Source organism: Homo sapiens, chromosome 10, assembly GCF_000001405.40.
Source record: "Homo sapiens chromosome 10, GRCh38.p14 Primary Assembly".
In the NCBI taxonomy this organism is placed as follows: domain Eukaryota; kingdom Metazoa; phylum Chordata; class Mammalia; order Primates; family Hominidae; genus Homo; species Homo sapiens.
Window position 1 is genome coordinate 59,907,652 of NC_000010.11, and position 15,346 is coordinate 59,922,997.

A 15,346-nucleotide genomic window follows, 5' to 3' on the forward strand; every position below is an offset into this window, starting at 1 on the left:
AGAAAGGCTTGCAGGAAATTGGCCCAGCAGGTGAGATGATTCTAAACACTTTGCCCTGTTGACACAAAACAGCTTTCACTTATGTATAAAAATTGGAAAGTGAAACTGACCAGACTAGTTTTATTACCCACGCTTAGTTAACATTACAACAAACACATGGTAATAGAAAATAGAAAAAAAAGTGTAATTTTTTTTTCTGTTGGGTTGAACTTTCTGAAAGATTTCTAAAGTGTTAGGAAGAAAGAAGAATGATTCTTATTCCCACTCCCTCATTATCTTTAAACCTAAATTTGATCTCATGATTAAACGGTGATTCAATGGCTCTTGGAAACTGGCACCTCAGAATAAACTCGAAAACACCAAGTGTTCCAAATGACATCATCTTTCACCAAGATGGCTGCTTTTAGCAAACAGCTTAAATGCCAACAGCAACTAAACCCCAGTTTCTCCCAGGTATTTTTTAGCTTAGTGCTGGAGGGCTTCTGAACTCTGTCACTGTTTGTATAGCAGGAGGGAGGAAATGCTTGGCTTTGCTCTTGAGAAACATATAGGCAATCTAAATCATTCTGTTACAAGTGATCCAGTTTAATTTGCACTGAAACTTAGTTCTCTCACTTTTTTGGGATCTAGTACATGAGACAATGAGTTAAATTGGAAACGGATTCTGGAAAGCTCACTTGAGGGTTGAAATGGAAGAGTAAAGCTAGCAGGGAGAAGCACCACAGGGGGAAACAGATTTAACAACATTCTTTCCCCTTTATTCAGCACTGTGATCGAATCTTAAGAGTAGGTCTGGCTGCCATACCTCACAAGTTTCTATTGCTCCCTATTCCATATTATCTTAAAGCTTCCACTTTTAGAGCTTATTGCAACAGGAACATTCCTTCCAGGCAGAGCAGGGGGCAAATTAACTCTCTCTTAGCGTCACCACAAAACTAACCGCCTTGGAAAGGCGGACTCACACTGCTTCAAGTCAGCAGAGGGGTGGAGTTTGAAGCGCCTGGTTTTCTTAAAGGGCCCAAGTCATGGTTAAGCTTAAGAATGTAGTGGCCTTCAGTGGAATTTGGAGGAAATTTGCATTTTGACATGGGACTTGTAGGTAGTAATCGTGGTTAGAAGACTTTAGGGAGAAAGCCATCTTCTAAAGCTTCCCTGCTGATACAGATGGGAATAAACTGGAGAATATTTTTTCACCGCGGTTTTTATTGTTATTGCAAAGCAGAAGCGTGTCTAATTTTCTACTTCTTGTAAAAGTGATTTCCCTTATAAACAGATCATTTATCACAACACTGGTTCCGTAATAGCATTACAATGGAAACACCAGTTACAAAACCAATAATATCATTATAAAATTCCTTCTCAGCTTTCTAGGGGAAATGAATCACAAGAACAAATGGTAGTATGTGCTGCCTGGAGGAAGAAGGGACAGATTTAGGTAATCACCTCCTTTGGAGAAATAATGAAATTTAGCTTTGCCCTCAATTTAAGCTGCAAAAACACATGAACAAAGGAAAAGAATACCTTGTAGTCTAACTGCAAGGCGCAACATCAAGATTTTTATTTGTCTAGTGCCATTTTTGCAAATCACTTACTCTATGGCCTTGGAACTTTAGTGTTTACAACAATAAAATAAAATAATAATGGCATAAATCATAGAGCAATTTTGTTAATTTTTAATATATATAAACAAATTGCTGTACATATCCAGTTACATTAATGTCAGATCTGAGTAATTTTATTCAAATTCTAAATGGATTTAGTTGTTGCAGGACCCACCATTACAGTTTTGAAAAAAATTAGGGTGAGCCAAGTATGAGCGGGATGTCACAGTGTCAGAAGTTGGATAGAAATATAGAAGAATGTGTCCATGTAGCCCTATCATTTCTCCTCCTTCTTTTTTTTTTTTAAGAGGCTAGGTCTCTCTATGTTGACCAGTCTCGTCTTGAATTCCTGGCTTTGAACTCCTGGCCTCAAGTGATCCTCCTGCCTTGGATTCCCAAAGTGTTGGGATGACCGGCGAGAGCCACTGTGCCCAGCCTAGGGCTATCATTTCTTGAAAAGTAGTTGATAGTTTCTTTATCTAATTACACCTTTAATTTAGAAGCTTTGTCTAGGTCTAGCAAGGCATTTCTGAACACTGACATTTGAGACTGGGTAATTTTTTGTTGTAGGGAGCTGTCCTGTGCATTGTAGGATGTTTAGCAGCCTCCCTAGCCTTTACCTAGTAGATTCCAGTAGTATGCCAGCCAAAAAATGTCTTCAGACATTGCCAAATATCCCCTGGGCAGCAAAATTACCTCCAGTTTGGAACCACTGAACTAGTAAAACAAAAGACAGCCCCATTTTGGAGTGGTTACACACTGATTAGATACCACTGAGTCACCAACAGAATTTCCTTCTCATTTTATCTTCTCAGTGTCAATTAGACAAGAGATCCTGGGCCCAAACAACCATATCCACACTTTATACTATTGCTGTCTTTAGCCACTCTATTTCTTTTTTTTTTTTTTCTTTTTTCTTTTTGAAGACCAAATTTCGCTCTATCACCCAGGCTGGAGTGCAATGGCACAATCTCTGCTCACTGCAACCTCCACCTCCTGGGTTCAAGCGATTCTCCTGCCTCAGCCTCCCGAGTAGCTGGGACTACAGGCACCAGCCACCACACCCAGCTAGTTTTTTGTATTTTCAGTAGAGACCAGGTTTCACCATGTTGGCCAGGCTTGTCTGAAACTCCTGACCTCAGGTGATCCACCCACCTCAGCCTCCCAAAGTAGGGGGATTACAGGCATGAGCCACCATGCCCGGCCCAGCCACTCTATTTCTACAACATGTTTTTTCAATATTTTACACTTTTTAACATTAAACTAGCCTTGCACATGCAACATCTCAACTTGTCAAGAGATCATGACTACAAGATTAATTACATATCTCATCCCTATGCTCCTGTTTTTATTCACTCATTATTGCTTCACAGGAACCAAAGCCATTAATACAGATGACAGTCTAAAGAAATAAGTCATCAGCTAAAGTAAATCATTTGAGAAGTAAGAATATCAGGCTGGGGGCAGTGGCTCATGCCTGTAATCCCAGCAATTTGGGAGGCTGAAGCAGGCGGATCACCTGAGGTCAGGAGTTTGAGACCAGCCTGACCAACATGGTGAAACCCCATCTCTACTAAAAATACAAAATTAGCTGGGCATGGTGGCACATGCCTGTAATCCCAGCTACTCGGGAGGCTGAGGCAGGACAATTGCTTGAACCCAGGAGGTGGAGGTTGCAGTGAGCCGAGAACACGTCACTGCACTCCAGCCTGGGCAACAAATGTGAAATTCAGTCTCGAAAAAAAAAAAAACAAAACACATATGATTTATGTGTCTGGAGCTTTGGCAGCCAGTAACATCTAAAACTTTGCCTGACACAGAACATCTAGAATTGCTGACCAGGAAATGCTGCTTTAATCCTATTCAATACACAGCAGAACTCAAAGAAAGTAAAGAGAAATCCCAGGCTCCAGTAGCAAAGAGGAAAATGAAACAACCCAAATGTCTGACTATAATACAAATCCTGTTGCGTTTGTGCAGTGGAATAATAACAGTAATGAGAATGAACAAACTGTGGCTACATGAAACAACATCAGTGAGCCTTACAAACATAATTATAAGCAAAGGAAGCCAGACACAAAAGAGTATATGCTGTATGATTGCATTTACATGCAGTTCAAAAATAGGCAAAATTCATCTATGGTGTCAGATGTCTGAATAATGATTCTTGTTGGAAGAAGGGAGTGATTGGAAGAATCCTAACAGCTTTCTAGTAATGTTCTTTTTCTTTATGTGAGTGCTTGTCACATAGGAATGTTCACTCATGAAGAGGTGTTGAGCTATATACTTATGATTGGTGTACCTTTCTGTATATACATTATACATCATTAAAATGTATGTATGAAAAAAGGGGAAGAGATAACCAAAAACCAAAGATGTAAACCTGGTAGCTTAAACTTGGGCAACAGGGACGGGTGCGGTGGCTCACATCTGTAATCTCAGCACTTTGGGAGGCCGAGGCGGGTGGATCGCCTGAGGTCAGGAGTTCGAGACCAACCTGACCAATATGGTGAAACCCCATCTCTACTAAAAATACAAAAATTAGCTGGGCATGGTGTCACGCGCCTGTAGTCTTAGTTACTCGGGAGGCTGAGGCAGAATTGCTTGAAACCAGGAGACGAAAGCTGCAGTGAGCCAAGATCGCACCACTGCACTCCAGCCTGGACGACAGAGCGACACTCCATCTCAAAAACTTGGGCAACAGCATTGTGGGTCTTATTAAACAAGGAGTTTTAGTTTAATATCCATCAAGAGCAGAACTTGAGGCCTTGGGGACATACAAGACAAGAAGATTTAACTAAGACATACACGGAATGCTGGAACCATCAAAAAGCTAAAAGCTACACCCACACCAAAAGGCTGAACTAAAGGGAAAAATCTCCATACCAACAATCAGGTAGAAAACAAGGAAGCTTGTTTGCCTTAAACAGAATTCAGAGTTTTGTTTCTTTTTTAAAAAACGTCTCTTTAGAAAAGTTATAACCCAGACCTAAGCCTGATGAAGTTAGAGGGTTCACATATGTACTTGATACTACCTACGTGGTCCAGAATTCTCCAAGATGGCATCTTATTTTGAAGGTTGACCTGAAATGGAAACTCTGAGTGACAGAAATGTTCAGTATCTTTTTTTTTTTTTTTTTTTTTGAGACGGAGTCTTGCTCTTTCGCCAGGCTGGAGTGCAGTGGTGCAATCTCGGCTCATTGCAACCTCCGCCTCCTGGGTTCAAGCGATTCTCCTGCCTCGGCCTCCCGAGTGTCTGGGACTACAGGTGCGCGCCACCACACCCAGCTAATTTTTGTATTTTTAGTAGAGACAGGGTTTCACCATGTTTGCCAGGATGGTCTTGATCTCTTGACCTCATGATCTGCCCACCTTGGTCTCCCAAAGTGCTGGGATTACAAGTGTGAGCCACCGCACCTGGCCACAAATGTTCAATATCTTGACTGTGGGGATGGTTACACAAATGTATGTATTTGTCAAATCTCCTCATACATAAAGAGTGAATTGCATTCTATGTAAAATATTCCTGAAAAAATAAACAGACTTTAAAAATAGTTGGTGCCGGAATAGTACTATATCTGCTGCACCTAGCAGAGGCAAACACAAATCCACCATGGAAGGACATAGTCTCAAAATGAAATGGGATTACAGTGGAAAAGTGTAAAACACACAGAAATAATCCATTTTTGAACAAAAATTAGCAAATAGTCAATAGTAGAATGATGTCCCACAACTTCAATCAATACAAGTGTTGGATAGACCTGGATTGGGAAAATTAAGTATGTTTAAAATAAGTGGAGCTATAAAAGAAAGAGTGGAAAATATAGAAAAGAAAAACACAGTCAAAATTAAAAACAAAACAGTCAGATTACAAACAAACCAAATAGAACACCTAGAAGTTAAAAATATAGTATATTAAAACCCACTTTGAAGCTATTTGAAAAAGCTAGCTTTATTTTGTTTCCTGCAGCAAAAAAGAAAACACACTGGAGGAATTGTGGGAGGGGGATTTGCACTTGAACTGGCTATTTGTAAGCAGGAGTTAAAAAAGCAAGGGTCAGCCAGGCACAGTGGCTCATGCCTGTAATCCCAGCACTTTGGGAGACTGAGGCAGGCAGATCATGAGGTCAGGAGTTTGAGACCAGCCTGACAAACATGGTGAAACCCCATCTCTACTACAAATACAAAAATTAGCCAGGCATGGTGGTGGCGCCTGTAATCACAGCTACTCAGGAGGCTGAGGCAGGAGAACTGCTTGAACCTGGGAGGCAGAGGTTGCAGTGAGCTGAGTTCATGCCATTGCACTCTAGCCTGGGTGACAAGAGCAAAACTCCATCTCAAAAAAAAAAAAGAAAAAGCAGGGGTCAGTTCTGGATCAGATATTGTCAAGAAATGGAAGAAATTTGGTGATTTAATAATTGATAAGTATCAGGAGTATTAAAGGAGGGCTAGAGTTATCACTGGCAAAAAAGCAGTAGTCACTTATATTAGTCAAGAGTAAGAAACTTAGTCATTTTTGTAGTTGCAAAGTGTCTTTTCTGTTCTGCTTTAACCATTGACATGAAGTATCCTTATATAGACATTTTCTATTCTGTTAGCATTGTTTTATTTGAGTTAGGAATATCATGATCTAGCTAGCAGCTGCTAGTTAGGAAGTTTTTAATTTTATCAAATGATTAAAATCTTAACCCCTTGAGGGGTAAATTAATCAGCAAATTAAACACAACTGAAGAAAGAGTTAGCAAAATAGAAGTTAGGTCTGAAGAAATTAGAATGTAGCAAAAAGACTTACAGAGATGGAAAATATAAGAGCAGATGAGAGATTCAGAGGATAGAGCAATGAGGTCCAACATACATATAATAGATATTCAGGAAGAACATAACATAGAGAAAGAAAGGAGCTGCAATATTTAAAGTGATGACATCTGAGAACTTTCCAGAATTGATAGAAGATATAAATGTTCATATTCAGGAGATACAATGAGAATGCAATAGAACAAATACAAATAAAACTGCATTGACAGTATTTAAGCATACACTGGTAAAATCTGTACACCAAACCCCCACAACACACAATTTACCTATTTAGTAAACCTGCACATGTACCCCCTGAAACCAAAATAACAGTTAAAAAAAATTGCTGGCCAGGCAAGGTGGCTCACACCTGTAATCCCAGCATTCTGGTAGGCCAAGGTGGGTGGATCACTTGAGGTCAGGAGTTCCAGACCAGCCTGACCAACATGGTGAAACATCGTCTCTACTAAAAATTCAAAAATTAGCTGGGCATGGTGGCGGGTGCCTGTAATCTCAGCTACTCAGGAGGCTGAGGCAGGCGAATCACTTCAACTCAGGAGGTGGAGATTACAGTGAGCCAAGATTGAGCCACTCTACTCTAGCCTCAGTGACAGAGAGAGACCCCATCTCAAAAAACAACAAAAAAAGTAAGTTTATAGAAATTACTACAAATTTATCAGGAAAGACAAACTGTAATTGAACCTACCTATTAAAACACAGAGATGATCAAATTGGAAAAAAAATATTCAGCCATGTGTTTTACAAGACTTAGAAGACACTAAAACCAAAACCTTGGAAAATTTGAAAGTAAAAGAATGAGAAATATATATTATGTAAACACCTACCAAAAAAACCTGGAGAAGCCCTATTAAAATAAGTTCCTTAAAGAAATAAAAAAACCCACTGTGATATAAGAAAGGGTAGACATCTAATAATTCAAAAAATAACCAGGGAAAATATAACAGTTCTAAGTTTTTATACACCTGGTAATATAGCCTCAAATATATAATATATATAAATATATAAAATTAACAGTATCATAGGAATAAGTTGACAAATCCACAATTACTGTAGGTGATCATAGCAGTTTTCTGTTGAAAAATTAAGCCAAAGAAAAATTTATAAGCATGTGGATGATTTGAACACTATTAACAAGCTTGATCTAATATACATATATAGAATTGCACTCAACACTTATAGAAAAAGCATTTTATTCAGGCACACAATATACAAAAACTGACAACAAACTTAGGCCACAAAGGAGGTCCCAGCAAAGTATACCTCATATGTATTAGGCATGTACCCTGTGCCAAACTAAATGCTTTAGTGCTTTGTATATATAATATGAAACAATATAACATTATATATAAAATCTAATCCTCACAACAACCCTACCTGGGTGGGCACTATTGTTATCCCCATTTTAAAGATGAGAAAACTCAAGCTAGAAGAAATCGCCGAAGTTTATCAACCAATAAATTGGAAGATGGGGTTTGAACTAGCACAATCTATAGATGTGCACTTTTTAGAAAAAAATTTTAAAGATACACACAAGCACATAGTCTCAACACCCTGAATTAATAAGTTCAGCTGTTTGGTTGTATTTCCTAGAATCTTTTCCTTTTTTCTAAAAGATATAGCACACTTATAGTCAAGTCCCCTTTGACAACCACTCACAGTTTGACTCCCAACTCCTCTTCTCCATGGGTATATATCCTTCAAGTTTACATTTTATATATTTTTAATAACCATTGCCACCATTAAAACCATACAATATTGCTTTGATGAGTATGCACATGTAAATGTGCATATATGTATGGTATCAATTTTAATAGTTACATGGAGAAGATAGGGTGGGCATTTTGAGTAGGAAAAAACAGCTTATGATATAAACCAAAAACAGTGAGAAATTTAGTGAGGCTGGAACGTAAGCTGTATGAAAGCAAGTGTCTAGAGACATAAATTGTGACCAGATAATAAAGCATTTTTTTTAAATACCGCACAGTAACAAGACTGGATTTTATCTTGTAGGAATAAGAACAGTTATTTTTTCTTTCTAAGCAAGAAAGTGGTATATTCAGATACTTTTAAGTAAAATAAAGACATCATAATGTCTTATCTCAAATAATGTTCCTATACAACCATAACACAATTATCCATAATACAATTAATAGTAATTTCCTTAATATAATAAAATATCCTATTGGTATCAAAATTTCCCCAATTATCTCCAGCATGTCTCCTGAAACTGGTTTATTCAAATCACATTCTAATCAAATACAACATTGCATTGCAATTGGTTCATCTCTTCAATCTCTTTTGTTTTAATAAAGCCCTCCTATCACTCTTTTCATGTCATTAAAATGCTGAAGACACTTACAGAACATCTCCCTTCTAGATTTTCCCCAACTTTTCCTTTTGATATTGTTTTAACTTTTTCCTCTGCCCTTTGTATTTCCTACAAAACAGAATTTAGGTCTAAAGCTTGTTTTGATTCAGGTTAAACATTTTTAGCAAGAATACTTCATAGGTGATGGTGTGTTCTCCACATTGTAATACATCAGAAGGTATATGATATCTGTTTATTGACTAAAAATGGATGCTAAGATTAATCACTGAGTTAAACATTGCAAGTCTCACCATTGCACTGTGGTAGTTTACGTTTTTCTCCCAGCAACTAATTTTTGGGGTGATGACTTGGCATTGGATACATTGTCATCCTGTCTCTCCTTATCACTTGACCAATGGCTTTAACATACATTGGTGATCCTAGTTTCAATCAGTAACTTCTTTCTTTCTTTCTTTCTTTTTTTCTTCCTTTCTTTCTTTCTTTTTTTTTTTTTTTTTTTTTTTGAGATGGAGTTTTGCTCTCGTTGCCCAAGCTGAAGTGCAATAGCGCGATCTCGGCTCACGGCAACCTCCGCCTCCCAGGTTCAAGCAATTCTCTTGCCTCAGTCTCCCAAGTAGTCAGGATTACAGGCATGCACCACCACACCCAGCTAATGTTGTATTTTTAGTAGAAACAGGGTTTCTCCGTGTTGGTCAGGCTGGTCTTGAACTCCTGACCTCAGGTGATCCACCTGCCTTGGCCTCCCAAAGTGTTGGGATTACAGGCGTGAGCCACCATGCCCGGCCTCAATCAGTAATTTCTTTAGGGGTTATAAAATGGTAATTTTCTAGTTTCGTTATTTCTTCTAGATGTATTTGCTGTCATTCCTTTGTAAAGTAGAGCCTTTTCTTATTAGCTGAGATTATTTAGTTGCCCTGATATATAAATCTTACTAAATACATACTTAGTTATAAATACTTAATTTATAGGACATATACTCTTAACAACCAGGCTATTTTGCCTCTGCAAAGAACCAGTATGAAGCTTTCTGATCATAATGCAATTGAATGAGAAATCATTAATAAAAATACCTGAAATAATATTTATATTTAGATTTAAAAATAGGTTCTAAATAAATTGTGGGTCAGAAGCAAATTGAACATGAAAATTGACCGATATTTATAAAAATAATAATCTTAAAGTAACAAAGTAACAAAATACCAGACAATGAGATTCAGAAAAAAAAAAGAGAAAATAACTATAAGGAATTTTACACCAAGAAATTAAAAAATGTAGACACAATGTACAACTTTTTAAGAAAAAATAATTTACCAAGAACAAGTAAAACACTTGAATATAACCATTGAATTAATTTAATCAGAAGTTTAAAATGTTCCTCCACTAAAAACACTGTCCACTGAGGTCAGAAAGATTTATGACAGAGTGCTACTGAACAATCAAAGAACAAATAATACTTGCCTTATGCAAACTGTTCCAGAGAATAGAAAACAAGGCAATAACCCACAACTATTTTATGAAAATAATATAAATCTAATACTAAAAACTGACAAGAGCAGTGTGAAAAAAAATTAAAGGCTATTAAACTGCTAACTGTTCACCAGAATTGTTCTCTCTTTTTGGGGGCATGCAACAAAACAATATTTCTTAATCTTCTTTATAGTCAGATGTGGGCATGTGACAATGTTCTCTATTGTGGAATAAAGTGGAAGTGATGTATCCCACTGACAAATATAGAGCATAAAAAACTCCAGCCACAGTCCTCCATGCTCTTCTCCTTTACGACTGACTGTAATGGTGACCCCCAAGGCCACCATAGAAGACACAAATTCAAGATGGCAGAGCCCCAGCCTGTGTCCCTGAGAAACTACATGCAGCAGATAAGATATTTACATTTCATATAACTGACAAAGGATTAGGATCCAGAGTATATAAACAACTCTTATAAGTGAGTAAAAAACAAAACAAAACAAAACAACCCATTGAGAAGACAAAGGATATTGATCAGATAATTCAGTAAAAGTAAACAAACAAACAAACAAACAAAAACCAGATGGCCAATAAAGAAATGCCAAAGTGCTCAATCTCACTAGTAACCACTGAACTCTAATGCAATACTACAGCCCTTGCTAAATTTTGTTTAGCAACAAAATTTATATCTAACAATAGCAAGTGTTGGTGAGACTAGGAAGCAACAAGAATTCTTTTCTTTTTTTTTTTTGAGACGGAGTCTAGCTCTGTCACCCAGGCTGGAGTGCAGTGGTGCAATCTCGGCTCAGTGCAACCTCTGCCTCCCGGGTTCAAGCAATTCCTTGCCTCAGCCTCCTGAGTAGCTGGGATTACTGGCGCATGCTACCACTCCCAGCTAATTTTTGTATTTTTGGTAGAGATGAAGTTTCACCATCTTGGCCAGGCTGGTCTTGAACTCCTGACCTCATGATCCACCCACCTTAGCCTCCCAAAGTGCTGGGATTACAGGCATGAGCCACCATGCCTGGCCAAAAACTCTTTTCTTTCATTCATTGATAATAGAGGTATAAATTGGAGAACAATTTAGTAAAATCTAATAAAGTTAAAAATAAATTATTTCTTATAATCCAGCAAGTCCATTCTTTGGTATACATTCTAGAAAACAATCACACATGTGCACAAGAAACATTAACAAGAATCTTTGCAGAATTTTATCTTTGCATACAGAGAAAAGCATAAAAACAAACAAACACCAGCAAGAGAATGGCTAAATGCAGATATACTATATAGCAAGAAAACCAAATTCTCTAAAGCAATATGTATGAACCTGGATAATTCTCAAAAACATTATGTTAAAGGTAACACAGGACAAGTAGCAGAAGCATAGTACAGAGGATATGCCTTACACAAAGTTCAAAAGCAGGCAAACCAATCATTGTGAGTACTTATATATGTAATCAGTATGTAAAGGCATACATAATGATAAACACCAAATTCAGGATAGTGGTTGCCTTTAGAAAGGGAAAAAAGTTGTATGGCCATATCACCCTGAATGTGTGATCTTGTTTGAGAGCAGAAGGTAATCAGGATTGGAAATGGTTAGTACTTGTATTGCAGGAATGAAGAAAGATGAAAACAGGGAACTTCGACTGAGTCTGTAATGTTTTATTTATTTATTATTTTTCTTTTTTTTTGAGGTGGAATCTCGCTGTGTTGCCCAGGTTGGAGTGCAATGGCGAGATCTCAGCTCACTGCAACCTCTGTCTCCCGGGTTCAAGCGATTCTCCTGCCTCAGCCTCCTGAGTAGCTGGAATTACAGGCATGCGCCACCATGCCTGGCTAATTTTGTGTATTTTTAGTAGAGATGGGGTTTCACCATGTTGGCCAGGCTGGTCTCAAACCCCTGACTTCATGATCTGCTTGCCTCAGCCTCCCAAAGTGCTGGGATTACAGGCGTGAGCCACCGTGCCTGGCCAATGTTTTATTTCTTTAAAAAATAAGTGTATGAAGGACCTGATATAAATATAACAAAATGTTAAGATTTGACAAGGCTAGATCGTGTATTTTAAGGTGTTCAATAATTTTTTTGCATGTTTAAAATGCAGTTGATCCCATTATTTATGGATGCCACATTCATTAATTTGCTTACCTGCTAAGATTTATTTGTAATTCCCAAGTCAATACCCATTGCACTTTTGCAACATTTGCAGATATGAACGTGGTGAAAAAATTACCACCCAATATGTACATTCTTACCTGAATCAGAATGAGATGACACTCTGCCTTCTTACTTTAGCTCTCATGCTGTGAAAAATGTCCTTTTCACAGTTTGTTTAGCACTACATTGCTATAGTTTGGATGTTTGTTCTGATGCAGGGCAGGTGAGTCCCCAGATTGGAGCTTATCCTGGGAGGGTTCCTGGCTTCACCCAGGAAAGAATTGATTGGTGTTAGACAGCAACTTATATTGGAGCAGCAGTGCACAGCAGCAGCAGAAATACTGCTACTTGCAGAGCAGGGCTACCCCATAAACAGTGTGCCCAGAGTAGCAGCTCAGAGGCAGTTCTGCAGCCATGTTTATGCCCACTTTTAATTATATGCAAATTAAGGGGAGGATTTTGCAGAAATTTCTAGAAAATGTGTGGTAACATCTGGGTTGGTTTGTTGCCATGGAAAAGGGTGGTAATTTCCAAGTGTTGCCATTGCAATGTAAGCTGACATGGTACTGGTGAGTATGCCTTGTGGAGGGTGCTTTCACCTCCTCCCTGTTTCAGCCAGTCTTCAGTCAGGTCTGCAGCCTGAGCCCTGCCTCTGGAGTCAAGTCCTGCCTCCTACCTCAGTTCCCTCAAACCTCATGTTGAAATTTGATCTCCAATATTGGAGGTGGGGCATAATGGGAGGAGTTTGGGCCATGGGGATAGATTCCTTATGAATGGCTTGGTTCCATCCATGAGAGTTGATAGTTAATGAGCCTGGCACCTCTCTCCCTTCTCTCTTTGCTTCCTCTCTCACAATGTGATCTCTGCACATGTTGGTCCCTTGTCACCTTCTGCCATAAGGAGAAGCAGCCTGTGGCTCGCACCAGAAGCAGATGCTAGTGCCTTGCTTCTTGTACAACCTGCAGAACCATGAGCCAAATAAACTTCTTTTCTTTATAAATTACTCAGCCTCAGGTATTCCTTTGTAACCACACTAAATGGACTAAAACATATGCATTTCACAATTTTGTGCTTTTTTTGGTAATTTCACTCTTTAAATAGCTCCCAAGCATAGTGCTGAAGTGATAGCTAGTGATTCTAAGTACAAAATGGCTGTGATATGCCTTAGGGAGAAAATATGATTGTTAGGTAAGTTACATTTAGGCATGAATTACAGTTTTCTTGGCCGTGAGTTCAATGTTAATGAATCAACAACATGTTAAGTAGGTGTGTTTAGATAGAAACACACATAAAACAAGCTTATGGATTGATTGGTTGATGAAAATAATGTGACCAGAAGCTTATTGGAGCCTAACCCTATATTTCCTCTAGGAGCAATGACTCAGTATTTACTAATTCTGTGTTTGCAGCAACAGTATAGAACATAACTACCATGAATAACAAGGATCAACTGCATTTAATTTAAAATAAGATAACATATGCTTCCAAGGAAGGGGCAGCCTTTCAAATTTTTTTCTCCCTGAAAAATTTGAAAATATATAAGAAAGAATACAAAACATATTCTAGGAAGATGCAGAGTAGGAAGCCCCAGGAATCTCTCTCTGCATATTGACAAAAATTGCACTAGCAGAATCTGTCTGATATAACTACTGTGGAACTCTGTAGTCTATTGAAAGTTTGCAACTACCAGAGGAAGGCTTAGATGGTAAATTGTAGCTAATTTTAGTCAATTTTAGCTTTTAGCACAGTAGCAGCCACTCATGCCCACACCCAGGCAAGTGTGCATGTGTTCCTGCAGCAGCTTGCTCTCAGCTTGTAGGAGCCAGGATGAACAAAAAGCATTCTGTTTTCCACATATTGAGGATTTGTGTTCTGATTGATGATTGCTGCTCTTGATCACTGTGGTACAGACAAGAAGCAGGCAGCCATCGTTTTTGCACTTCTCTCATTGTTTCAGGACTCTTTTCCTCCAGTGGAAGTGACCTCCAAAGAACTTAAAGGCCAGTGGCCTTTTCTTTCCCCCCTCATTTTCATTCTTTGTTTTTCCCCCTTTTGAGAGCCAGGCATTAAAGATTAGAACACTTATAAGACAACCATAAAATCTGGGAAAATTAGAAAGTGACCATGGATACCAAGGAGAAGATGCGGGCCCAGAAAAGACCTAAGAAGATCTTAAATTTATACCTCAGGCCTATCCTTGGCAAAGAGACACCCTCCAACAATCAAAAAACCCCCAAAACAATCTAAAAAAACACAATAACAAAAAGCAGCAAACCCTGGGAAGGAGAAAAATCTGATTTCCAGAATTACAACATTATTAGATTCAAATGTCCAGTTTTCAACAAAAAAAATCACAAGGCAAAACTAAAAAAAACCAAAAAACATAAAACAAAAATCACAAGGCACACAGATAAATTAAAAATGCATTGCTTGATATAGAAAAAAATAAACAGAAACTGTTCCTGGAAAGATCTGATGGAGGATCTACTAGACAAATATTTAAAAACAACTGCCTTAAAGATGCTCAGTGAACTAAAGAAGATGCAAAGAAAGCCAAGAAAACAATGTATGAAGAAATGAAAATATCAATTAAGAGATAGAAAGCCTAACAAGAAACCAAAAAGAAATACTGGAGCTAAAATGTTTAATAACTGAAATTAAAAACTCACTACAGGGACCCAAAGGCAGATTTGAGTAGGCAGAATAAATAATCAGGAATCTTGAAAATATGACAATGAAAATTATAGAGTCTGAGAAACAGAAAGAAATAAAATTAAAGGAAGAGAGCTGAAGGGACTTGTGGGACATCATCAAACAAACCAACATAACTAACATGAGAATCTCATAAGGAGAAGAGATAGAAAGAGGGGCAGAGAGAATATGCAAAAATAATAATGGCTGAAAACTTCCCAAATTTGATGAAACATATGCATATAAACATCCAAGAACCTCAATAAACCCCAAGTAGGATGAACT

General features: G+C 38.0%; 1 annotated feature.

Moving 5' to 3' along the window:
* Window positions 540–1,333: an enhancer, noted in NCBI's record as "NANOG-H3K27ac hESC enhancer chr10:61667949-61668742 (GRCh37/hg19 assembly coordinates)". NCBI's record gives its function as "activates a minimal SCP1, AML or CMV promoter by ChIP-STARR-seq in primed H9 embryonic stem cells {active_cell/tissue: H9 hESC(primed)}" and the evidence as "EXISTENCE:reporter gene assay evidence [ECO:0000049][PMID:30033119]".